At 39.4% G+C, this 24,892-nt stretch overlaps 1 protein-coding gene and 1 long non-coding RNA gene across 10 annotated transcripts in view, besides 1 other annotated feature; one reads left to right on the plus strand and one right to left on the minus strand.

The window, feature by feature from the left end:
* The window catches only part of MACROD2 (mono-ADP ribosylhydrolase 2), a 2,057,682-nt gene that overhangs the window by 1,874,913 nt on the left and 157,877 nt on the right, over positions 1-24,892 (plus strand). For all 8 annotated transcript variants that reach the window (NM_001351661.2, NM_001351663.2, NM_080676.6 and 5 more), the window contains one exon: positions 15,336-15,383. In NM_001351661.2, coding sequence (NP_001338590.1) covers positions 15,336-15,383 — 48 coding nt within the window. The remainder of the gene's footprint in view (positions 1-15,335; positions 15,384-24,892) is intronic.
* Positions 18,387-18,888: an enhancer, noted in NCBI's record as "NANOG hESC enhancer chr20:15869460-15869961 (GRCh37/hg19 assembly coordinates)". NCBI's record gives its function as "activates a minimal SCP1, AML or CMV promoter by ChIP-STARR-seq in primed H9 embryonic stem cells {active_cell/tissue: H9 hESC(primed)}" and the evidence as "EXISTENCE:reporter gene assay evidence [ECO:0000049][PMID:30033119]".
* LOC613266 (uncharacterized) overlaps positions 21,905-24,892 on the minus strand; it is a 93,550-nt gene continuing 90,562 nt past the window's right edge. For both annotated transcript variants that reach the window (NR_130924.1, NR_130925.1), the window contains exon 2: positions 21,905-23,849. This is a non-coding gene — a long non-coding RNA (uncharacterized LOC613266). The remainder of the gene's footprint in view (positions 23,850-24,892) is intronic.

Below are 24,892 nucleotides of genomic sequence, written 5' to 3' on the forward strand. Positions count from 1 at the left end.
TACAGTTGGAATGTGTATCTCCTCCAAAACTCATGTTGAAATTTAATTGCCGTTGTAACAGTATTAAGAGGTAAGACCTTTAAGAGTGATAGGCCATGACGGCTCTAGCCTCATGGGAGGGATTGGTGTCATTATAAAAGGGTGAGTTCAGCCTCTTGCCCTTTGCCTTCCACTTTGTGATGTCTTCCACCATGTGATGATGTAGCAGGAAGACCCTCACCAGATGCCAGCACTTTGATATTGGGCTCCTCTGTCTCCAAAACTGTGAGCCAATACATTTCTGTTCATTACGTATTACCTAGTCTGGGGTAGTCTGTAGCAGCACAAAACAGATTAAGACAGAGAGAATATTTAACCAAAGTTTCAGGTAAAAAGTCAGTTTTTCCTAGAAACTCTTAAGTATTGTTAACACAGCTAGACAAGGGTATAGCACTGCTTTTTACGTATTTATCAAAATTTTCAAAAATTGGCTGGTCACAGTGGCTCACGCCTGCAATCCCAGCACTTTGGGATGCTGAGGTGGGTGGATCACAAGGTCAGGAGTTTGAGACCAGCCTGGCAATATGGTGAAACCCCGTCTCTACTAAAAATACAAAAATTGGCCAGGCGTGGTGATAGGCGCCTGTAGTCCCAGCTACTCGGGATGTTGAGGCAGGAGAATTGCTTGAACCCGAGAGGTGGAGGTTGCAGTGAGCCGAGATCACACCATTGCACTCCAGTCTGGGTGACAGAGCGAGACTCCATCTCAAAAAAAAAAAAAAAAAATTATAAAATTAACATTTAAAGTTCTCAAAAATTAAAAATTACTTCTCTGACAAATGGGCACAAAACTTTAAAATTTTACCCAGGCAGTATTTAAATTTTTTCCTGGATTTCACTTTTAAAAATCTTAGCTCTTTAAAAGCAAACAAAAGAAAGTACTCACATTATGTCTTCTGCATCCTCCCTTTACACTGATTTTATAAGTTTATCTCATCCATTATCATTCATTATCTTTCTATCAGTTGTCAAATATTTGTTATGTGCCTACTATGTTCCCAAGGCTGCTACATTGAAGGTACTGTTCTTGTAATAGTCCTGAAGGGCACATATCATATAAAACAGTTGGAAAACAATATTAGCAAATAATCAAGTATAACATTGATACAGTCATAGCACCCAGGAATTCAGAGGCAAATGTGTATGAGGACCAGATTGATTGGGACAGTTTTCATGAAGAATGTGGCACTTTCAGTGATCTTTAAAGAATGAACAAGGGTAGAGAAGTTCACGTCTGGTGTTGGGTAAGCAACATAGAGGGAGAATGGCAGTTCAGATTGGAAAAATTGTAAAATAAAGTATGATGCTTATATCCAGTTTGTGAAGCCCTGACTGAGAAATTTTGACACTCTTGTCAATGTATTATGCAATTGAGCCTAAGAGTAAGTCCTTGGTTGAGAAATAGGATAGATTCTATATTTAAGAAGGATTAACTCAATTCACGACTTGAGAGACTGGCCTTTCAACAACACCCATGCCATGGATTCATCATCTGCTTTTATTGAGATAGTAGTGAACAAAGGCTAAAGAAAAGTCAGTAAATTGACCAAAGTCACATAGTTGGGTATGTCTGAGCTCAAATCCTTTCCACTCCGTAATGCTTCTTCCCTTAGCAATCCTGAAAACATGGACAGTTGTTTGAAGCTACTTGTCTGCTAAAAAAGCCACATATTATCCATTTGCATTAGTAGGGCTAGAGCTCCTGAAAAGCTAGAGCTCCTCCAATCATATGGTATATCCACATGTCCTCTTTCCTTCTTCTTCTTATCTCCTCTCTGGTCATCAGTTTTCCAAGAATAATAATGAAGCACACAGTGTCATGAGCTGCTAAGGTTTTCTTTCCTCTTGCTATGTCCGAATAATGATTGGAAGATAGAAGCTTGAAGAAGGGGTGGTGAATTCCTGAGAAAGGTAGCAATTGTCTAATAATGAGGTCAACAGAGACAAAAGCATCTATGGTAAAGGGGAAGAAATGCTAGGCTTGTTATTATAAGAAATGGTCTCATCTTGTCACAGCCACCTTAACACTGTGTGGCTTTGCGCATGTTGTTTAACCTTTTTCTGCTTCAGTTTTGTCATGTGCAAACATACTAATGGACCAATTCCAAATATAAGGAATAGTAATATAAATGAAAGTTCACTAGATATGTACACCAAGCATCATAAATGTTTAAATATCCATGTTTATTTCTTATTACAATTTTAAAAGTAAGTAGTTCAACTTTTGTAATCATCTTTGAAAAATATATAAAACTTCTTATCACAGAAGTAAGATAGGTTTATAGTGAAAAACAGATAAGCAAAAAGAAAAAAATACAAACTATTTTCTGTCCTATAATCTGGAGATGAATTACATTTTGTTGCTTATCCTTCTGATCTTTAGAAATGGAAAATGCAAACAGCCAGAAATTAGTCTTATAACTTGCTATATGTCATTTAACATAAATCATGAACATTTTTCACATCATTATGAATTCTTCCATAACTTAATTTTAATAGACCCAAAGTTTACTCAAAACCATACTATTGAACTTAGGAATTATTTCTGTAAATTATTTCTCTATTTGCTTATAAATAATAATTTTTAAAAATCATCTTTGTAGTTAAATATTGGCATCATCCTCATTTTAAAAAATACTTTTCTAAAAGTGGAATCACTTTTTCAAAATATATGCAAAACCAAGACACTTTTGCTAGTAATTGTCAAATTGTGCACTGTGTTTGCAGCACTGCAGTTGAATGTCATGTACTATACAACTTACAGGGATTACCATCCACAGGGACAGAAATATAAATGCCCGAGCCTAGCAGTAAGCAACCTGAGTTTACATTCCCATGAGTGGTACATGAGAGTTTATTTTTTTCCTACCTTTCTCAGTGGGTTACATCCTACTGTTTTGATGTTAGCACTTTTATACATGAAAAAAAGGTAATTAATGGGTAACAACATTCATTTATTTTATTACTAATGTGGTTTAACATTTTTCCAGTTATTTATCTAAATTTCTTACACAAAATTGCTGATCATAACCCTTGTACATTTTTATTTCATCTTTTTCTTATTGATTTATAAGAACTCTTTGTATATTAAGGTTATTAATCTTTCAAATATATGTTGCAAGTGGTTTCCCAGTTTGTCATTTGCCTTTGTGATATTCTTTTATAACCAAAACAGTGAGAAAAGGTAGAAAGATAAGATTTTAAAATATATAAAAAAGAAAGAAGGAAGGAAGGAAGGAAGGAGAAAAGGGAAGATGAAAGGACGAAAAGTCCGAAGGTTTAAAAATAGAAAGAAAAGAAGAAACCCTTTTTAATGAAAGAGTGAGGTTAAACCAAAAACTCAAAAATGACCTTGATTTTAAGCCTATGGACTTCGCCTCACAGAAAACCATTTTATTTCTAATTAGATTGTTTCTAGTTCTCCTCTTCAGACATTTTATTATTATTATTTTTTATTTGTTATTATACTTTAAGTTCTAGGGTACAGTGCACAATGTGCAGGTTTGTTACATAGGTATACATGTGCCATGTTGGTTTGCTGTACCCGTCAACTTGTCATTTACCTTAGGTATTTCTCCTAACGCTATCCCTCCCCCAGCCCCCCCACCCCCCAACAGGCCCCAGTGTGTGATGTTCCCCTCCCTGTGTCCATGTATTCTCATTGTTCAACTCCCATTTATGAGTGAGAACATGCAGCATTTGGTTTTCTGTCCTTGTGATGTTTTGCTGAGAATGATGGTTTTCAGCTTCATCCATGTCCCTGCAAAGGACATGAACTCATCCTTTTTTTGGCTGCATAGTATTCCATGGTGTATATGTGCCATATTTTCTTTATCCAGTCTATTATTGATGGACATTTGGGTTGGTTCCAAGTCTTTGCTATGGTGAATAGTGCTGCAATAAACATACGTGTGCATGTGTCTTCATAGTAGCATGATTTATAATCCTTTGGGTATATACCCAGTAGTGGGGTGGCTGGGTCAAATGGTATTTCTAGTTCTAGATCCTTGAGGAATCGCCACACTGCCTTCCACAATGGTTGAACTAATTTACACTCCCACCAACAGTGTAAAAGCGTTCCTATTTCTCCACATCCTCTCCAGCGTCTGTTGTTTCCTGACTTTTTAATGATCACCATTCTAACTGGCATGAGATGGTATCTCATTGTGGTTTCAATTTGCATTTCTCTGATGACCAGCAATGATGAGCATTTTTAAATATGTTTCAGACGCTTTGTATACAAAGCAATCTGCTTCCTGATTTACCAAATGTGGTAGGCGGAAAAATGTCCCCCACAAAGATGTCTACAATCTAAACCCCAGACCCTGTGAATATGTTAGGTGGCATTGCAAAGGGGGAAATAAGATTGGTGGTGGAGTTAGGGTTGCAGTTAGCTGACCACAAGATAGGAATGTTATTTGGGATTGATTCTAGAGGTGGGGTCAATGTCATCAAGAGAGTTCTTAAAATTGAAAGAGGAAAGCAGAAGAGGGAAGGCAGAAGGAGCTGTGACTGTGGAAGAATGTTCAGAGAACTGCACCATTGCTGGCTTTGAAGATGGAGGAAGAGGGCCTTGAGCTAAGGAACATGGGCATCTCTAGAAGCTGGAAAAGCGAGGAAACAGATTCTTTCCTGGAGCCTCCAGAAAGGAAAGCAGCCTAGCTGATATGTTGATTTTAGTCTAGTTCAACCCATTTGGGACTTCCAATGTACAGAATTGTAAGATAATAAGTTTGTGTTGTTAGTAGAAATATGTTACAACAGTAATAGAAAACTAATACGCCAGTCATCTATGAATAAGTGAAAGAAACACAAGAGAAACTTCTTACTCAGTCTGAATTGTACATTTTCCCCCCAAATGATACATTCAATGTAGAGAAAAACTAGAGTAAAAGAATTCAGTATTTTCTTTAATTATGAATGTTTACAAGTACATGGCACATTTATGTACTTTTAATGTGCAGATCACATTGATGTTTAGAATTCTGCAAGACAAGCTCTCTATAATGTAACATAAATGAGTTAACTGCCTTCTTAGGAAATAGGTGCTAACCATTTCCACTTGATGGGCCTCAAAAGCTGCAAACACATTTTGCCTTCAATGAAAATCCAGTGAAGTGTTGCTGTAACCAAGCAACCTGAATGCAGGAACAAGCAGCCGGCATAGACAGAAAGCAATCTGTCCCTTCCAACGGAGGGGAGTGTGCAGTGAGTGTAGCAAATGCTGATAACCAGCAGAACTCATGAAGACCTGGGAACATGAGCCTTGGCTAAGCAGAGTTTGATCTCATTAGGAAGTTCTGGTAAAACAGACACAACTAAATGCTAGTTGGAGAAGGGAGGGAGGATGTTGTAGTCATCTTTATAGAGACCGCTGCAGGGTGCTTTTGAAAGGCCTTTCAAACATTCTGGGTAGACTGGTTTTGGTTCTTTAGTTGAAAACATTGAGGCAAATGCAGGGGAAAAAAAAGTCTTTTTAGGAATAATATATCAATAAAATAATTCTTAAGAAGGCACAGAAGTAAGAGTAAAGACAAAAATAAACAATAGGGAAACTAAAATTTCTGCAAACTATATTCCACTTTATGTATGAACCTGACTTTTATTGTCAGCTACATGTCTTTTATATATATATATATATATATGTGTGTATTTTTTTTATTACACTGTAAGTTCTAGGGTACATGTGCACAAAGTGCAGGTTTGTTACATATGTATACATGTGCCATGTCGGTGTGCTGCACCCATTAACTCGTCATTTACATTAAGTATATCTCCTAATGCTATCCTTCCCCCTGCCTCCCACCCAATAGCAGGCCCCAGTGTGTGATGTTCCCTTCCTGTGTCCAAGTGTTCTCATTGTTCAATTCCCACCTATGAGTGAGAATATGCAGTGTTTGTTTTTTTGTCCTTGCGATAGTTTGCTGAGAATGATGGTTTCCAGCTTCATCCATGTCCCTACAAAGGACATAAACTCATCCTTTTTTATGGCTGCATAGTATTCCATGGTGTATATGTACCACATTTTCTTAATCCAGTCTATCATTGTTGGACATTTGGGTTGGTTCCAAGTCTTTGCTATTGTGAGTAGTGCCGCAATAAACATATGTGTGCGTGTGTCTTTATAGCAGCATGATTTATATTCCTTTGGGTATATACCCAGTAATGGGATGGCTGGATCAAATGGTCTTTCTAGTTCTAGATCCCTGAGGAGTCGCCACACTGTCTTCCACAATGGTTGAACTAGTTTACAGTCCCACCAACAGTGTAAAAGCGTTCCTATTTCTCCACGTCGTCTCCAGCACCTGTTGTTTCCTGACTTTTTAATGATCACCATACTAACTGGGGTGAGATGATATCTCATTGTGGTTTTGATTTGCATTTCTCTGATGGCCATTGATGATGATCATTTTTTCATGTGTCTGTTGGTCAGCCACATGTCTTTGAAGTGTTGTCTGTCTCCCTCACTTGCTGGTCACTCCATAATCCACTGCAATAACGTGACTGTCTCTGCCTTCCTACTGCAACCATCCTTGTTGAGGTTATTAGAACATTTTTGATGGCTTGAGCATGGGAACTGAAACCATTGCGTATTTGATCACATGACCCTTTAGAGCTCTTCTCACTTTGGACTGGGCACTCTTTATCCTGGCGACTGCTCTGCCATCTTTTCTTTCTGACCGTCATCTGTGTCCATCCCAGCCCTCTCTGGTGTACTTGCTTGCACACGTCCATCTCCAGCTGGGAGTCTCTCAGGCGTCTTCAACTGAACATATCCAAAATTAAATTCAAAATCTGTTTCTCCACTCCTCAATCCTCCTCTTCCTAAATCCCATATCTCTGTAACTGATGCTATAATGTGCCCAGTTGGGCAAGCCAGAAGCAGCAGCATCAGGCGGTGCCTTTTATTTATTGCTTGATTTATAAAGTAATTAGATTTGAGTGCTCATTTTGGCCAAGGATCAGTTGAAGGAAAAAAAAAAGTTCCCTTTTTTTTAAAAGAACAACAAAATTTCTCCTGGCTTTATCAATCACCTTCAAAAAGTAGATTTAGCAATTTGTTAGATGCAGTGAGTCCAGGTATTCAACTTAATGGCAGGAGTCCTACTCAGGGAGGACTCTCCCTTATCGGACATTCTTTGCCTGAAGTTTCTGCTTTGTCAAGTCCTACAAGAAGTCATGAGGATAACGACCTCTTCCCTACTACGTAGAAGCCCTAAACAAAGCTTTATTTTTGCTAATAATATTTCTTTTTTCTGCAAATCCAAATTGTTCCTAGAAGCTTTTGGTAATGAAATATTAAAAAGATGAGGAGTGCACAAGAAGCCTGTGGTAAGAAATTAAGCTCTAAGGAAGAGAACTTGGAAGCATGTGAAATAAAACCACAGCAGGATTATCGTAATTGTTCTCCTTGACAGACCTGCCCATATGTACGGATGTTCCTGAAAATTTGACAAGGGAATTTTATGATCTATTTCAGGTGTCTGTCCATTTTTTTCCCTTGGGAGTGGAGAGGATGCCGTAATAGCTCATAAGGGTAACATTCCCCTTCATAACACCCTCCTTTTCTCATGCCACCCACAGACCTCCTTGAGGCTAGTCTCCATTCATGCTCATGTCTCCTAGCCAATCTAGGAATCCTGGCCATGGACCATGATAATCTTGCCACTCAGCTGCATGGTAGCTGAGTGACTTCAAGCACATAAGAAAGCATACAGTATCTTATGAAAAGCATAACTGTTCCTCAAACCCAGCAACCATGTGGCTTGGGCACCTCTTACCACATTAGTGTTAGTGAGACATCACAAGTTAGTTCAGTTGAAATATTGGACATCTACTCTTTTGAAAGGTTCTTCTTCAACAGGCCAATATTGGTGCTTTGGACCAGTGGCTCTCAAACTTCAGTGTGCATGAGTGTCACCTGGAGGGTCCTTTCCCCAGAGCTTTGGATGCAATAGATCTTGAGTGGGACCTGAGAATTTGCATTTCTAACAAGCGTTCAGATGATAGTGGTGCTGCTGGTCCAGAGAGTACACTTTGATAATTACCTTAAATAAAGTTCTACGGGGTTTTCTTTGCTTGTTTTTGTTTATTTCACTTCCCCAAAAGACTGTATTAATTATGGTGGCTCTAGGTAATGGAGTAAGACAAATCTGAAGTCATTCCAAAACCCATAGCATACTTCCTTTTCCAAAGAAGTGTGGACTATTTGCTGTTGGGAAATGACAGGTACCTGCTCAGAAGACAAGTATAATAATTAAAACAAAAATCATTCACATTAACTCTGTCTCCAATAAAAGAAGGTGAAATCAATGTTATAGAGCTCAAAGTAGGTTAGACATTTCCTTATGAAGGGGATTCTGAAGTATATAAAGCTAGCTTTTACCCAAAACTTGTTATTCATGAGAAACTAGTTGGTTTTCACATATATTTTGTGATCAAAATAAGAACTTCGGTCATATTCATGTGTTTGTGTAGAATGCAACAGGGTAATCTAACACAGGAGATACAGTGAACAAAAACAGCGTCTATTATGAAATTAACATCAAAGAGGTCCCGTAAGATTAAATGGAGCTTTAGCCTCTGTATGGTCTGTGCCTGGGAAGGAAAGGGGATTTTTCTGGAATTGGCATTTCTGAACACACAGAACAATGCCGTCTGATTGATTGCTCTCTATTTAGAAATAGTATTTCTATCACTTTGGTAGAAACCTTTTATTTCATTTTTGTCCTCTAACAAAGAAGTATGATGCTTGGAGAACTGTTTAAAAGGGCTGCAACTCTGTGCCCATGCTTCATCAGTCTCCTAACTACTTTCAAACTTTGAGTGGCATGACTCCCTACTTCCATAGACTATCACCTTTTTTTAATATTTTTTTGTTCCTAGTTTTGTTAGAAAAATTCTTGCTAGCAATTTGTTGCACAAATATGACTCAAGCAAGCACATTACATAGAATAATGTTGAACTAAAGTAGATTTCATTAATATGTAATGGCACATTAGGTGCTTTGTAGAGCAAAAGGACTCTGTGCTTGATTTTAATACAAATAATTGCAAAATATTAAGGCATGTGCTTTATAATTTTCAGTAAATTTGTCTCATAAAAAGTTATCTTTCAAAAGATGGTATGTCACTCCTCTGCTCAAAGTTGTTTAATCACTCTACAATTTTTCAAAAAAAGTTTGAATGCTTCAACCTTGTATATTAGTCAGGTTTTTGCAGAGAAAATGAACATATATTAAAATACATGGAAAGAGGTTTATCATAGCAAATGGCCCATATGATTATGAAGGCTGTTAAGTCCCAAGATCTGCAGTTGGCAAGTGTGAGACCCAGGAGAGCTCATGGCATAGTTTCAGTCTGAGTTCAAAGGCCTGAGAACCAATGGAACCAACCGTGTAGTTGTAGTCTGAATGCTGGCAGGCTTCAGACCCAAGAAGAATTAATGTTTCAGTTTGAATCTGAAGGCAGGAAAAAAACCCCAATGGCCAACTAGTAGAAAGGCAATGAGGCCGGAGGAGTTCCCTCTTACTCTCCAGGGGTCAGCCTTTGTGTTCTTGTTAGACCTTCAACTGATTGGATGAGGCTCACTCACATCAGGGAGGGCAGTCTGCTCCGTACCCATTCAAATTTTAATCTCATTCAGAAACACTCACAGACACACCCAGAATAATGTTTGACCAAATGTTTGAGCACTCTGGACCAGTCACCTTGACACATAAAATTAACCATCACTCCTGGCATGGAAGGTCTGTATTATCTAGCCAGAACAGATCGGGTTAGTTGCAATTTCTCAGATAACTCTTCCTTTGGCCATTCATAGCTAGTTTTATTTCCTTAAAAACATCTTGATGATTCACGTCCACATGTTTTTACAGATGTTTTTCCCTCTGCTTGAGTGTGATTACCCTTGTCTTTGTTTGAGTTCCCCAATAAGCAGATCCTGAAACAAGGACTGAAGTAGAAGTATGTTGGGGCGGCGGGGGTGTGGCAGGGAGATGATCCCAGGAAACACCAGTAGGGAAGTGGGGAAGTGAGACAAGCAAGAGCAGTAGGCAGTGAGGTTAAGCTCTAAGCCAGTTACCACTGGACAACTGGGGCTCAATCCCAGTAGGAGTGAGGAGACTCAGGGAGATAGTACAGAACATGCTTTGAATTAGGCCACTTGGGAAGCAAGGGATCTGGGGTACTTATATGCAAATTGTCCATCATTTGAGAAAGGCTCAACCCTAAAGGGTGTTAATTCTCTAGTATTACTTGAATGGGATTCAGCAAGCAGAGAGAGCCCTCAGGCAAAGAGACCCAGGAGCTGGTGGCTCAAAGGCAGGCTGGCATGCACTGAATTGTCAAGGAACAAGGAGTTATAGGCAGGACATCCACATCTAGGCATCTACTGTAGCCTTTCTTTTTCCCTACATAACTTTAACTCACTCTTTAAGACTCAGCTGAAGTCTTGCCTCTTCTGGAATGCCTTCATAGACCTTCTCTCTGACTGAGCTGGCTCTTGTATATTTCCCAATACAACTTCTGTTTACCTCCATCAGATAATCTGTTACCTTCTTCTCTGTTGTTTTGCTTTTCTATATCGTCCACTTTGTGACCTCCTTGAGGGAAAAGATTGCTAACCTGTATCTTCGTAATGGGTACACAAGGTAGAGCTCAAGAAATGGTTATTTGACTAGCAAAAATAGTTATAAAAATGACATTATAATGTAATCACTCAATGGGTTATTCTTGCCCACTGCACAGATAAAACTAATTCAGTGAGACAGCAGTATTGCAGTAGAGAAAGAGTTTAATGCAGGGCTAGCCAAGCAGAGGACAGAAGTTTATTACTCAAATCAGTCTCCCAAAAAGCTTGGAGGCTACGAGTTTTATGGACAACAGGCAGGGGTCTAGGGATAGGGTGCTGCTGATTGGTTGGGGATGAAATCACAGGAGTGTGGAAAACTGTCCTCATGCACTAAGTCAGCCTCTGGATACGGGCCACAGGACCAGTTGAGTAATGAGGCAAAGGTCCCAGTGGAGTCAGTCAGTTGCCAGAATGCAAAAGTCTGAAAAACATCTCAGAAGTCCAACCTTAGGTTCTAGAATAGTGAAGTTATCTATTAGAGCAATTGTAGAGGTTACATGTCTTGGGACCTCTAGAACAATGGCTGGTTATTGTTTAAATGTGCCTACGTCTTAGTAGAATCCAGGCTTCTCTCATAATCATGACCTTGGGGCCTTTCGTTAGTTTTACAAAGGCAGCTTCAGTCCTCAAACAAGGAAGGGATAGTTTTGAGAAGGGCTATTATCATTCTTGCTTTTAGGTTAAACTATAAACTAAATTCCTTCCAAAGTTGGCTTGGGCTATACCCAGAAATGAACAAGAACATCTTGTGAGGTTAGAAGCAAGATGGAGTCTGCTGTGTCAAATTTCTTTCATTGTTATACTTTTTCTATGTCAGATTTCTCTCATTGTCACAATTTTTGCAAAGGTAGTCTCAGTAATAGCAATAATCAGTATTTATTGAATGCTCATTCTGTGTAAGCACTTGACATATAATCCTAACCCTAAGAAGTTGATAATTTTATTATCCCTATTTTTCAGATGAAGAAACTGACATATAGGTTATATGTTACTTGGAGGCCAAAAGATAACTTCCCCTTTGCCCTCTGAAAGTTCACTAAAAGTAAGCTGACAAAAGGCAGGTTAATAGCAGAAAAATCATACAAAATTATTTTAACATGCATAAGCATGGGAGAATCGCATGAGAATGATTATCCACTAGCTAAATTGGGCACAGAAGCTTATCTCTTCTTCTTCATAGGGGAGTGGACAGATGGGGAAAGTAGACAATTTTTTGAGGAGCAATAAATAATTATTAGGGAGAATGAATGGACCCAGGAGACAGAAATTAACTTGTAAATTATTCTCTTTGGAATTTGAATGAGCCCAAGAGGCAGGCATTATCTTGTGAAAAACATCTGTCCAGGTGTGGTTACATTCTCAGCTTTCTTTTCTGCAATAGATAATGAGATTTCAGGCAGAGGATGGAAGACAATTGTGTTCCTTTTTTGGGGCTACTGTTTCTAGATAGATAAGGGAACTGCAGAGAAAATCTTCACCCTGTGCTTTGGGAGAGACAAGGGATTGAGAGACGGTAGTGAGGGGAAGGTCCCTCATATTTCAGGGTGAAATATTCTGGTATTCTTCTTACCCAAGATTTGCATAGTTATATGTGGTTTGTCCTGGAAGTAAACCGAACCAGTCTGAGTCCAGACTCTGGACAGACTCTTAACCACTGTATGACTAAATCAGTGCGTGAATGAAGTGAATGAATGAATAATAACCCCAAGCCTGATCCTTCCACACATGGGAGTCATTCTGGGGATGACGTTATCAGGACAGTCTATGTAGTTCAAATATCAGCTTCAGTGTTATGTTCTACATACAAGAAGACTTCCAAGTAGCTTAACTAGAAGTATCAATCCTTCCTCTGACACTTTTTAATAGCATTGACTACCATATGTTGGAATGTATTTGCATGTCTTGGTTTCTTTACTACTGACAAGATTCTTAAAAAAAAAAACAAACAAACAAAACAAAAAAAACTGCTTAAGTTTCTATCCATCTTGGTGTTTTCTACAGCCCCAAACATAAAGCCTTGTACACAATAGGCTAACCAATGAGTGTTTGCCAGGTGAATAACGGAAATATAAGTGACAAGCAAAGGGATCTTTGACTCTTCCTTTATTTTTCCCCAGAAACTGTAGAGACTCTTTTTTATCTCTCTCTCTGAGATTCCAGAGAGTCTGTTGTCATACAGATTTTAGATGGCTCTGTAAAATAAAATTATATTTAAAGATGTTAAGTTCAGGGAAGAATCTATGAAGTTTACTTTGTAACATTTTGGTAATCATTTGGTTAGAAAATTATATTTCTAAGAAATTGGTATTCTTCCTTCCAAAACTGCATTCATAGAATGAATTTTAAAAATTATGTAGAAAATCATCAGTGTTTCTAAAATATTTCCATGGTAAAAAAATTACTTCTTTAAAAGTTAACCATAGTTATCAAGAATTGCCTTTCTAAAACCTCAAATGAAAGGCATTTTCTCTTTCCTCTGACTAATAAATCTCTAATCATCATTAATAATTAATAATCAATTCTTAGAAGAGGGGCAGACTGAGTAAATTTGGCTGGGATGACTAAATTACAAAGCACATATATAGGAGAAAGTTGTAAATCTTCACTGACTTCCCATTATTTACAAAGTATCATATAGCTAATATGTATAAAACACATAGAAAATAATATAAATTTAATTCAGTGGACATTTATTGATTCTAGTATATAAAATGAATGGCATTAAGTGCCAAGGAATATACAGGAACAGAAGACCTGGTCTCCATCTTTACAGAATTTATGATCTGGAGACCGATGTTTGAAAGAGAGATAAAATAACAAGTAGACTGTGTGATTTTATTATAATAACAGCTAATATTTAGCACTTAACAATGTTTCAGTAGCTGTCCTAGTGCTTTACGTGGCATTATCTCATTTAAACCTTAGGAAAGCTCTATGTAGTAGGCATTATTATTATCCCACTATACAGCTGATGAACCTGAAGCTCAGGAAGATCAAGGTAACTTCTCCAAGATCACATGCCCAGGGGATGGATGGATGGAGGAGCCAGGATGCAAACCTAAGCCCATGTGTATTTAAAGTCCATACCAAGCAGGCAGCAAAAATAAGGTACATCAAAGAGCACATGATTCATTCAAACCTGGGGAAATCAGAAGCTATGGCACCTAAGCTTGCACTTGAAGGATGAAGGTGAATAGAGAGGGAGAAGGGCATTGCTAGCAGGACCAAGGCAGGTAGACGAGGCTGAGGGAGACCTTGAGAGATCAGAGAAGAGTTAAGTGTTGCCATCCATGTGGGTGGTAGCATGCATGTAACAGAGGAGGTGAAACTGAGAAAAGTGTTTGGAACCAGGTATCATTGGCCTTGAGTGTTATCGGGAAGAGTCTAGACTTTTCTCATTAGGCAGAGGGCAGTCACTGAACTGTTGTGAACCAGATCAGAGCTGTATTTTAAGACTGATTTGGCAGTCACGTGTAAAAGGAGTGAGATACAGGAGAGAGAAAAAGAGAGGAGCAGTTAGGAAACTGCTAAAATAGCTAAGGCAAATGGCACTGGGAGTCTGAATTTGTACTGCAATAATGTGAGGAGAGAGGACCAAACATAGAAACAGGAGAAGATTTGGCGCTAGCTGATATTTTAGTCCATTTGGGCTGCTGTAACAAAATATCATAGACTCAGTGGCTTACAAACAAAAGAAATTTATTTCTGACAGTTCTGGAGGCTGGAAGTCCAAGATCAAGGTGCTGGCAGATTCGGTGTCTGGTGAGGTCCCTCTTCCTGTAGAGAGCCATCTTCTTCCTGTGTCCATGCATGGAGGAAGGGGTGAGAGGTCTCTCTTAGGTCTCTTTTATAAAGACACTAATCCCATCCACAGGGCTCCTTTCTTATGATCTAATCAACTTCCAAAGGCCTCACCTTCTAATCACCATCACCTTGGAGGTTAAGATTAAGCATATGAATTTTGGGGGGATACAGATATTCAGAACATAGCACTGGTTGTGGGGAGCATAAGGAGAGAGACGACAATGTGTCAGAAGTTCAAAAGAGCAAGCGTGTCATCTATAGTGCAGAGGAATCACATGTCCTTGTCCAGTTAAAAGGGATTATACTGGGAGATGATGGGAGCTAAATGGGAGTGGTGCAATTGGTGGGACACTTGAAAGCACATGAGTGAAGGCTGGGATTTCCAAATGCAGCAAAGCAGCACTTTCCATGGTGTGGTGCGGGGATTTGACATGTGTCGGTCTATGACCAAATAATGATGTCCATACTTCTCAGATACTTGAAGTGAGCATGCAGACCTTTAACAAAGTTAGAACATGTGGCATTTAAAGTCTGTGATTTTTAATTTTGAGCAATTGAAATGACTGAAGTGACCATATATAATTTCTATAAGTAAAACAAACGATTGCATATACAGTTATAAATATAACAATTTTTAAAAGGAAATGTAAACTCTAGGCTTTAAATTGTGCATTAATGTGTATACTTTCTTCTTAACTTAGCATGATAATAATAAGACAACAGAAATGCATGTTTTAACAGTCTGTTTTCTACTGATCTGTTATCCCTTTCTTTGATTTTTTTTAATAATCCATCTGGAACATTCTTGTGTTTCCCACTTTCATATAAGTATTTCTTTATGTTTTCCTATTTTTTAACAGACGATAATAATGAAGAAGAAGAGGATGTTGAAATGAAAGAAGATTCAGGTATTAAATTCATACTTTTATTATTAGGGGGTAGGTAGGGGTCATTTTGTTGTTTATGTACACTTCATATTTTTTCAACGAAAGACAAAATAAGATTAATAAAATAGAAATATATGCTCAGTGTTATAAAATTAAAAAGTAGTTGTTCTAACACTTAAGGCTATTGCAGTTGCTGTATTTAAGGAATAAATTTGACCTTGAGTTTCCTGACAGCGAAGGTAAAAATGGAACATGATGTTGTGGTTAATACAGTTATATAACGAATCACCCCCAAAACTTAGAGTAAGCTGAAAACAACCACTTCTTACGCTCATGAGCATAGCAGAGATAACTTAATCATCCTGTTCACAAGGTTTGGAGCTCAGCAGGAAGATTCAACAGCTGGAAGCTGGGACCATCTGAAGATTCACTCACTTGTCTGTCTAGTGATTGATCTCAACTGTCAGCTAAAATCTTAGCTGGGACAACTTCCTAAAACACTTGTTCATGGCCACCTTTATGTGGCCTGGGCTTCCTCAAAGCATGGCGGCCAGCTTCCAAAATGAGCTTCTCCTGGAAAAAGGGAGACACTGTATTCTCAGGCTTAGACATTCCATTGCATCACTCCATGTAATTCATTCTTTGGAATAGTCACAAGCCTGCCAAAATTCAAGAGGAAATGAAAATGAACTCAATCTGTTTTGGGGAGTGGTTCTATAGAGCGTGTAAGACCTAAAATATTGCTGTGGCCATCTTTGGAAAATACACTTTCCACATACTATATTTTGCTCTCATTATCAGAATTGAGATGCATGCCAACTCCTCAACAAAGCCCACTTGTTATGAGGAAAATCTAGTAGTTAAATGCACAGGTTATGGCCTAAGGTAGCCATTCAGTGTGTCTTTGATAATAAAGGCATAAATCAGTAGACCTGAATTCACTTGTAGCTCTATCAATTATTGACCTTAGGCAAATGTCATTTTCTATAAGCTGAGTTTACAATTCTGGGGGCAATAATTCTTACCATATAGTTTTCTTTGGAGGATTAAATCAGATAACATACCTAAAGTTTCATACAGTGCTTGGACCATAGTAAAGATTCAGTAAATTATTGCTTTTTTCTTTCTCATTCTAACAGATATTAGAAGGATATAGAGCTTAAGTCTATGATTAAAAGCTCCTTCTTCCTCATTTTGGCAGTCACAGTGTTCTGACCATGAAAGAGGTATCTCAGAGGCCCTGATTTTGTGTTGCTTCTCATTTGATGCCAGAATTCCCTACAAATCACTGACAGGCTCAGTCTGGGCAGCTCCATCAGCAGGGAGCTCTTTAAATTCTGATGCATTTGATCTCAATACATAAGGTTTGATCGGTGTGGTCCTTCTCTATGTTAAGTTATATCTCTCTCCCTCCCCGGACTGCCCACTATCTTCAAGGGGAAATAACACCAGTTTATTTTCTTCATAAAAGTTCATTGGAACAAGGATTATAGCTTCTATCTACTCTTCTCCAGTCCAAACATGTCTGATTCCTAAGGTTTCCTTGGACTTCCAAATGCAATGGATTCAGAGGGCATGAGAAGCAGAAGCAGAATCTAAAAGTCAGGAGCAGGAATAAAGGAGGTAGAAGAGGAACTGTAGCAGTGGCTGTTGGTGCCCTACTTATGTCTCCTTGGTGCTTGCTGTTATTTTATAGCACCAACAGCTTTCCAAAGAAAGTCCTTATGACTCTCTGCTGAGCGCTTTACTTGTCCTGGCAGCAAACTCAAAGCACCAGAGAATTAATTTCTCTGGAGCAGACCTCAACCAATAACAGACAGGAATTGGTTGGTTAATACCCACATCTGACTCATGTTCTATTCTAATGCTGTCTAGTAGAAACATAATGTGAGCCTCAAATGTGAGCCTAATGTATAATTTTAGATTTTCTAGTAGCCACATTGAACAAAGTGAAAGGAAGAACGTAAGACTAACTTTAACAATATTTTGTATAACACAATAATCCAAAACATTATCATTTCAATGTATAATCAATATAAAAATAGTCGGATATTTTACATTCTTCTTTTTTCATACTAAGACTTTGAAATTGGTGTGTGTTTTACATACACGTTCCAGTTCAAACTAGCCACATTTCAACTACTTGTTGGCCATACGTGGCTAGTGGCTACAGTATTGGACAACACTGTTTGGAGGTCCCCGATAGAACTGAGTCTTGGTTGCCCACAGTGGAATGTGCTCATGAACACACCCAGTATTGGCTGCTTTCCTTTTCCTGTCTTTCTTCCCTACTCCTCTTGTGATACTTACTAAAATCATCTCTCAAATTAACTGCTTAAAACTCAAACCCTTCTATGTTTACTTCTGAGAGAATAAGACCTAAGACAAGGACTTTGCTTGCCTTTTATAAAACATAGAGCTCAAGGTAAAATTTAAATTAAAATTTCCATTCCTATACCCATGTAGAATGTCTTATTGTTAAAAAGAACCATATGTTTAAAAAAGACTTGAAATTGTCACTCTGTCTTGAATTAACTTTCATGAAGTTAATCTTAATGCTTGCCATTCTCATTTATCCTGCTCACATGAAATGTCCTTGGAGTATCTTTTAGCTATGAGGGGTACTGCCCTTTCAAGCACCCGGTATAAGGGCCTTATCTCGCCATGGATCATTTGCCTAAGTGCTGTAAGTACACATTTCTAAGCAAAGAGAGTTGGCTTCTCAATGAGATTTAGATAGCTATCCAAACCACTGAATGATTTTAAGGAAATCATTATTAATGCTAATGCAGAGTCCCCAAGTTTGGAGTCAGCATTTGAGGTTCAGCGGCATTAATTGGATCACCATTTCTGATTTTAGTTCCACCAGGTTTCCTGGGAGTTTTGTCACCAGCAGCTGCATGCAGCTGTTCAAGTCATATTCAATGGCCCAAGGATGCTAAGCCACTTGGGCAGAATGGGCTTGGGAGCTACTCCCAATTTCCTATACCTGAGTGCTGAAATCATGGAGGATTTTTGTGCTGAATGGTTCCAGCTGGCCTCACCAGACATTGGTGTGCATGCTGGCTTCATTCAGATCTCACACTTAAGCATGTCAGTCTCGAAGATGAGTCTAAACCAGCCTCCCAAGGCCTTTAACTGCTGCCTTTCCCCCGCCCTGCATCAATTCTTCTCATTCAAATAGAAAAGCTGGAGGGATTTTTACAAATGCAACCGACACTAATGAAGGGCTACTTGAGTGAATCAACTGGCCAAGACATGCTAGTGAATGATAGTAAATAACAACTTGAATACCTAAACCCACTGGGGTGCTTGTAAATTAACTCTCTGGGTAAGAAGAGCCCCAGTGTGAAGAGTTTGCAGATTTCTATGGTATAAACACAAATACCATGGTCTTTTTCAAGCTTCCAAAGCATGAGGTCAATGAATAGGAGAGCTAGGGAGAGATGGTACAATTAGCTCGTGTGAGCTGGCTCAAGTCAGCCGCAGCACAGCTCTGCTGAGCCAGACTTTAATTGGGCATGTACTTTGTGCCAATAACGTGACATGCATGAACTCATTTAATAAACACAGCAATTCTACAAGGCAGGAACTGTTATTATTGAGGCTTAAAAGGGATTAGTTCCTTGCTTAAATAGCAGAGCCAGAATTTGAACCTGAGTTTGCCTGACCCCAAAATTCATGTCCTTTACTTTTTTGCTCCTGTCTCCAGACTTTTATAGTAAGTAGAGGCAGGAGCATTTCAGATGGTATCAGACATGGTCATCTGCAAGGGGAGGCTCTACTCCCATGGGAGGTAGAAGAAGCAGACTGGCCTAAATGCCTAGAATTCCTTGTAAGTCCTTTAATCATCTTCCTTAATCCTTAATTCCTTAATGGCAAATGTTTTCCCATGTCCTTTCATTTCCATGACTATGCACTGTTGAAATTAGCCCCAGTCTGAGCCAGCAGGGACAGAAAATTATCAACCACCTATGGAAACTCAACCACATCACAGCTGGATGCACAGTTGAGTCCCTCAGGGGACAAAGCCATGCTCCTGGCAAATCTCCAGGTTTCCACCCTCTGCCAGACACAGGGCAAGCTAGAAAACATGATACATTGTCAAGGAGAAGCATGGGGGTGCTTTTGAAGAGAAGCAGAAGCAACTCTCTTCTTCACTCCCTCAGGCCAAGAGGGAAAGTTGTTCCTCCCAAGCCACAAGTAGAAACTTGGGCACAGAGGCCATATGTATCTGTGACTTTCATTTGCATGCCCCAAAACACTTCACCTGTGGTATCATGAAATGATACAATACTGTTTCACAGAACATGTTTCATGTTCATATTCAACATGTAAGCATGCCCACTGACCCAAGGAGTGCTCTACAACTTTTTCAAAAATAAAATATTAGTACTTTAGGGGGTGCTTAGATATTTCAAAATGTGGCACATGGAAGTCTTTTTAAATAGTACCCACTCCCCAGGAATTCCCATTCTGGTGGAAAATGAAGACCTAGAAATGTAACTCACAAAAATGCAAAAAGTGATTTGGAGAAATGCTGGTTTGGAGTTGAATTTTCAGCATTGGAAACTCTCTTCTTGATCCCAGTTGCAGACGACACATTGCAGTGACATAGAAGGGTTAGATTTTTCTCCCAGTGAGGTTGCAAATGTCCCTTTGCCCATTGTATGAATCCCTTTGAGCCCAGTATTTGCACTCGGTGAGCTGCTCCAAGCATCTCATTTCTGTTTTTGCTGAACCCATTCCAAGGGTCAACATCCATCTTGCACCTGGTGACAGAAGTTTGGGGGAGTTGCTAATGTAGTCATTGGCAAAATTTTTCACCCTGGCTGTGGTAATAACCTTAGATGTGACTGACTTGCAACCACAGAAAACCTAGCCTAGTGCCCAAAGCTTTGCAGTTTATAATGCCAAAGTTTTTAATAGCACATCTATCAAATGTGGGGTTTTTTTTTGTTCTGTTCCTTTTTTAATAAATGGGAAATGAGAAATGAGTCGCCATAGCTCTGTAATGTAATTTTAGAATCCTGGCACGAAGGCGACAGCTGCTAAGAGAGAATTAGGCAGGGTCCCCATTATATCTTGGCCTTAAAGAAAGGGCTGGGGAAGTGAAAATAAAATAGAATTTGAAATGAAATTCTCAAGGCACTGCTAGGCACCAGGGATACAAGAGGGATTAGGAAAGACAAGTGCCCTTTTCTCATGGAATTTATGTTCTTGGGGATGAGGTGAGGAAGGAGACATACAATAAAGGGATACACCAGAGAGTGAGATAATTTCACATACAAGTGATGTGTTTGAGAGAGATTTCCTTTCTGGTGAGCCTTTAGATTAGGCAGTCAGGGAAGATCTTCTAGGGAGTTGAATTTGATCTGAGATTCAAAGGGTGAGAAGGGAGCAGACATATGAATATGTGTGTTGGAGGAGTGGGGGTGAGAACAGCAGGTGCAAAGGTTCTGAGGCAGGAACCAGCCTAGCAGTGATTGAGGAACACAAAGGGAAAGGAAACTGACAAAGCTAGAGCCAAACACAAGAGGGAGGTGAGGCTAGTGTGGTAAGCGGGGCCCCAATGACATGCTGTGCTAGGCCTGGAATTGGATTTGGATCTTATTCTAAGCAATGGTTTTTAAACAGGTGAGCAATGTGATCTGGTTTATGTTTCAAAAGCTCACACTGGCTGCTGTGTTGAGGATAGAGTGTAGAGAGTAAAGAGTAGAAGCAGGGAGATTAGAAGGCTAGAGGGTTATGAGATGCTGGTCTGGGCTACTGTGGTGATTCCAAAGGTTGAACACAGTAGATGAATATGAAATCTATTTTAGAATGGAGCTGATAGGGCTTATGATAGAACTTACGATTGCTTCAACTGGAAAAGTAAATGAAGAAAAATATTGAGAATGACATCTCAGTTTGGAGTTTAAATTTCTGGGTAGATAGTAATACCATTCCTTGAGATGTGCAATACTGTGGAAAGAACATGCTTATAAACATCAAGTATATGATTCTGTCTGATTTCAAATTTGAAATGCCTGATGAGGTCCTTTACAAAAAAATTGAAAGGGCCTGATGGGAGTTGAGTGCAGGAAAGGAAATTATTAGTGCTGTGAAGTGTGGGGCATAGTTAAGTACCAGCCCTGAAGGGACAATGGGAAGGAGGTGGCTACGGGAGCCAAGAAACTTAGAGGGCCACATGGAGAAGGCCAACTCTAAGATCTGTAACCTTCGATTGAGGGATACAACCAGCTCATGAAAACCACCAGGTGCCTAGAAAGTAAATGCCCTGAGCTCCCCACTGGCTACATGAACCAGGGAGTTCATTCATGCAATCCAGAAAATTCAGCCTCCCAGAGCACAGCAGGGGTGGTGAAGGTGGAGAGTGGATCTAGAGGGGCAAACAGATATCCATTCCTAAATCCCAGACAAGATGCCACGTAGGCTGTTGAAGATGTAAGTCATGAGCTCAATAGGAAGACCAGGGCTAAATACATAAATTAACACCTAATGAAGTGTTCTATATCCAAATGAAATAAACTCGGAGATGCTTTCCTGACACTGTCCTCAGACTTTAATTTATTTGCCCCCAAGGATAGACTTAGAGGGACATTGAGGAAAATAGGAAGCACAGTAATTTAACTGGGACATACAGAAGTTGTTTAGAATCTGGATTACTAAAAACAGTTTGTTAAATAGAAGCAGGGTAATTTCTAGCCCCATTCCTTTCTCCATTCCTCTAGCCCTGCGTTCAGGACTGAGTAAGATGAAATTGCACAATGACAATTGTCAATTAATCTATGAAGATTGAAATCGAACACTCTTGGAGGAAAAAATATTAACAGGGTTCCCTTATGGAGAATTTCTAAATTTATAAAAGCACATGTGTAAGATTTTACATTTGTGTGAATCACTAATGTTATCTACAAAAATGTTTTAGCTTAAGCCTTAAGTTTAAGTCTATGTAGGTTGGAGAACCACAAGTCCTTGCCAGAATTTCGCTCAGCCATGATGACAGATGAAACTGCAATTAAGATTCAGCGTGTGTGTAGGTTTACTAAGAAGAAAACATTTTTAAATTTCACATAATTTTGAACCCTACTGGTAAATATTTAAATGAGAATATTAAATCTTCGTGATTCCAGAGGGGTTAGAGCCAAAAGGCCTCTCTCCACCCTACAAAAAGAGCAAAGCAAAGAAGCCAGAATGTTCGAAAGACTCTAGCGAGGGTAAGTCCTGTCCCTCCTTCCTTTAGAAAATTATGCCATGAAAAGAAACATATTTAATTTTTAAATTATGTGTACAAACACACTCATGTTCAGATATTCCTAAGGGTTAAAATATCACAGAGAAATTCTTTTATCCCTTTCTAATATGTTTGAAGATGAAGAATCAGACTCAAGTTTATTTTGTTAAGGTAAAACCCAAATTTTAAAAGTCCATTTTGTCAGTATGTTGTATTTTCCATGTCTGCAAAGCAAAAAATTGTAGGTAGTGCTTACCAGTTACATGTTCCAAAATTGTGCAAAAGTGAAGGTCAAGATTTGCATGTGATGACCAGCTTTGCAGCTATTGTCTTACTGGGGAAATTGTTTTTCTGATAAATACATTCTGAGTCTTTCCAGATTCGGACCTCAACAACAGATGCTGGAAATGGTTCCTGTCTTTAGCATTGTCTTTCATTTTCTAAGATCCTACATACCTTTGCATTTTTGCATTGAATGGGCAGGTCCCACTGGACTCAGTTTTATGAATAAATGACACGGTCTCTCTTTTACACACTAGTACAACATACAATTCATTCAAATTTTCTTTTGAAATGTTGATGAGATGTTCTTTTCATGTGAACCTCAAACCTAAGAGTAGTACAAACTTTTACACTTGATCTTAGCCCAAAGACCCAGAAGCGATAGAGCAGTACAAAATTTTAAAGGGAGCATATTTACGCTTTGTCTTTCTTGCCTGGATCCCCACCTCCTCCACTGGGAAATGAAGAGTGTAATAATACTGATGGTGTCAGGTTGGGTCTTGAGGGAAGAAGATGCCAAGATGGAAGCAGAAGTGCAGGATAAAGGTGAGAGAAATGGGCAATGGAGCAGGAGCAGCTGAAAGGAGAGAAGAAAAGAAGGAGGCTCAGCTAGGAAGTGCCTCAGTCTGCAGTGCAGTCTGGAAGTCTGGAGGAGTCCTGCACTGGGCAGGAATAGCTGGGCTCTAGGGTCTCGCTTTCCCATGCTCAGTCACTGGCTGCAAGTAGTTTGGCAAGAAAGTGGCCGGCCTCAGCAGGAACATGATGCCACAGGGGTTCTCAACAGTGTGGTTGCTGGGTGCTGTCAGCTTACTTCTCTCCTAGCAGCAGGTCTCACTTGAAAAGAACTCTTGAGCTGCTCACATGCAGGACTGCACAGTATCCCTGTTGAGTGCCGGGGCTTCCGGTGCTAAGTAATGACGCTGCTTTTTCACCTTCCTGGGAGTTCAGAACCAATCGAGAAGCCAAAGCTGAAAGAAAGGTGGAAATCAAAGCATTAGCTTGAATACTAACATGATGAGGCCAGAGCATCTGGCTGCCCTGCTCCTAGACAGGCTTCCTAACCCTGAATTTCAGCTCTAAATAGGAAAGCTTTAATCACTGTCCCCTCACAGGCGAGTGCAGGTGTCCTCAGCTTCCTAGACCAAGACTGCCCTGATCAGCTTGTTATAGGATGAGCAGACCAGGAACACGCCTTCTCTGTAGGCAGGTGGGTCTGAGAGAGACACAAGATGGAACTGTTTCCTTCTCCCAGGCTTACTGTAAGAAAGGAGAGGTGCAGAAAGGCACAGAAACAGATGTGACCCCTCCTCTACACAAGGAGCAAAGGAGGAATATTTCCTACTGACAATGAAGAGTAGAAATAGCATGTGTACTGGCCTAGCACTGGCCTGGCCTTCTGTCAGTGATGGCTGTTGTTATCAATATGATGATCATGGCCATCGTAGATTATGCACTGCCCTAATTCAGTGAAATGTGCTTGAAAGTTTAAAATCGTTCAGAGGAGAACACTTAGAACCAGGAAAAAGGCCAGCTGCAATAATTCACCCAAGATGTTAAGCTTTGTTACTGCCTGGTTGGGAGAGTAGCTGGGGCTTCCAAATCTCCTGTTGTAGTTCGGTCATTTTCTAGACCATCTCTTAAGGCCACACTTGGGTAATGAGCTGGGGCAAAGCAATACTCACCTTTCCCCTAGAGAAACTCTACCTCACCAAATGATTCCCATCACATCCATAACCTATGTCAAAAGTTGTTTTCCAGAACCTGAGCCTGTTGTCATTTCTGAGCCTCATATAACAGCTATTAAGCTGTAGCAGTTCTTCCGCCTTTAATTAAAGAAGGGAATTCTTCCAAGTTACTCCTTCCAATGTGTGAAAACTTCATTTACTTCCTAAATCAGTTGCTTTGTTTAGGAACATCATTCCCGAATCCTAATATGACTCAATAATACAGCTTCACCTCCTGTAATTATGTGGTCTAACAATCTGCTCTGAATCATAAAGATGAAAATGTG

The sequence above is a fragment of the Homo sapiens genome, chromosome 20, assembly GCF_000001405.40.
Source record: "Homo sapiens chromosome 20, GRCh38.p14 Primary Assembly".
Classification (NCBI taxonomy): Eukaryota; Metazoa; Chordata; class Mammalia; order Primates; family Hominidae; genus Homo; species Homo sapiens.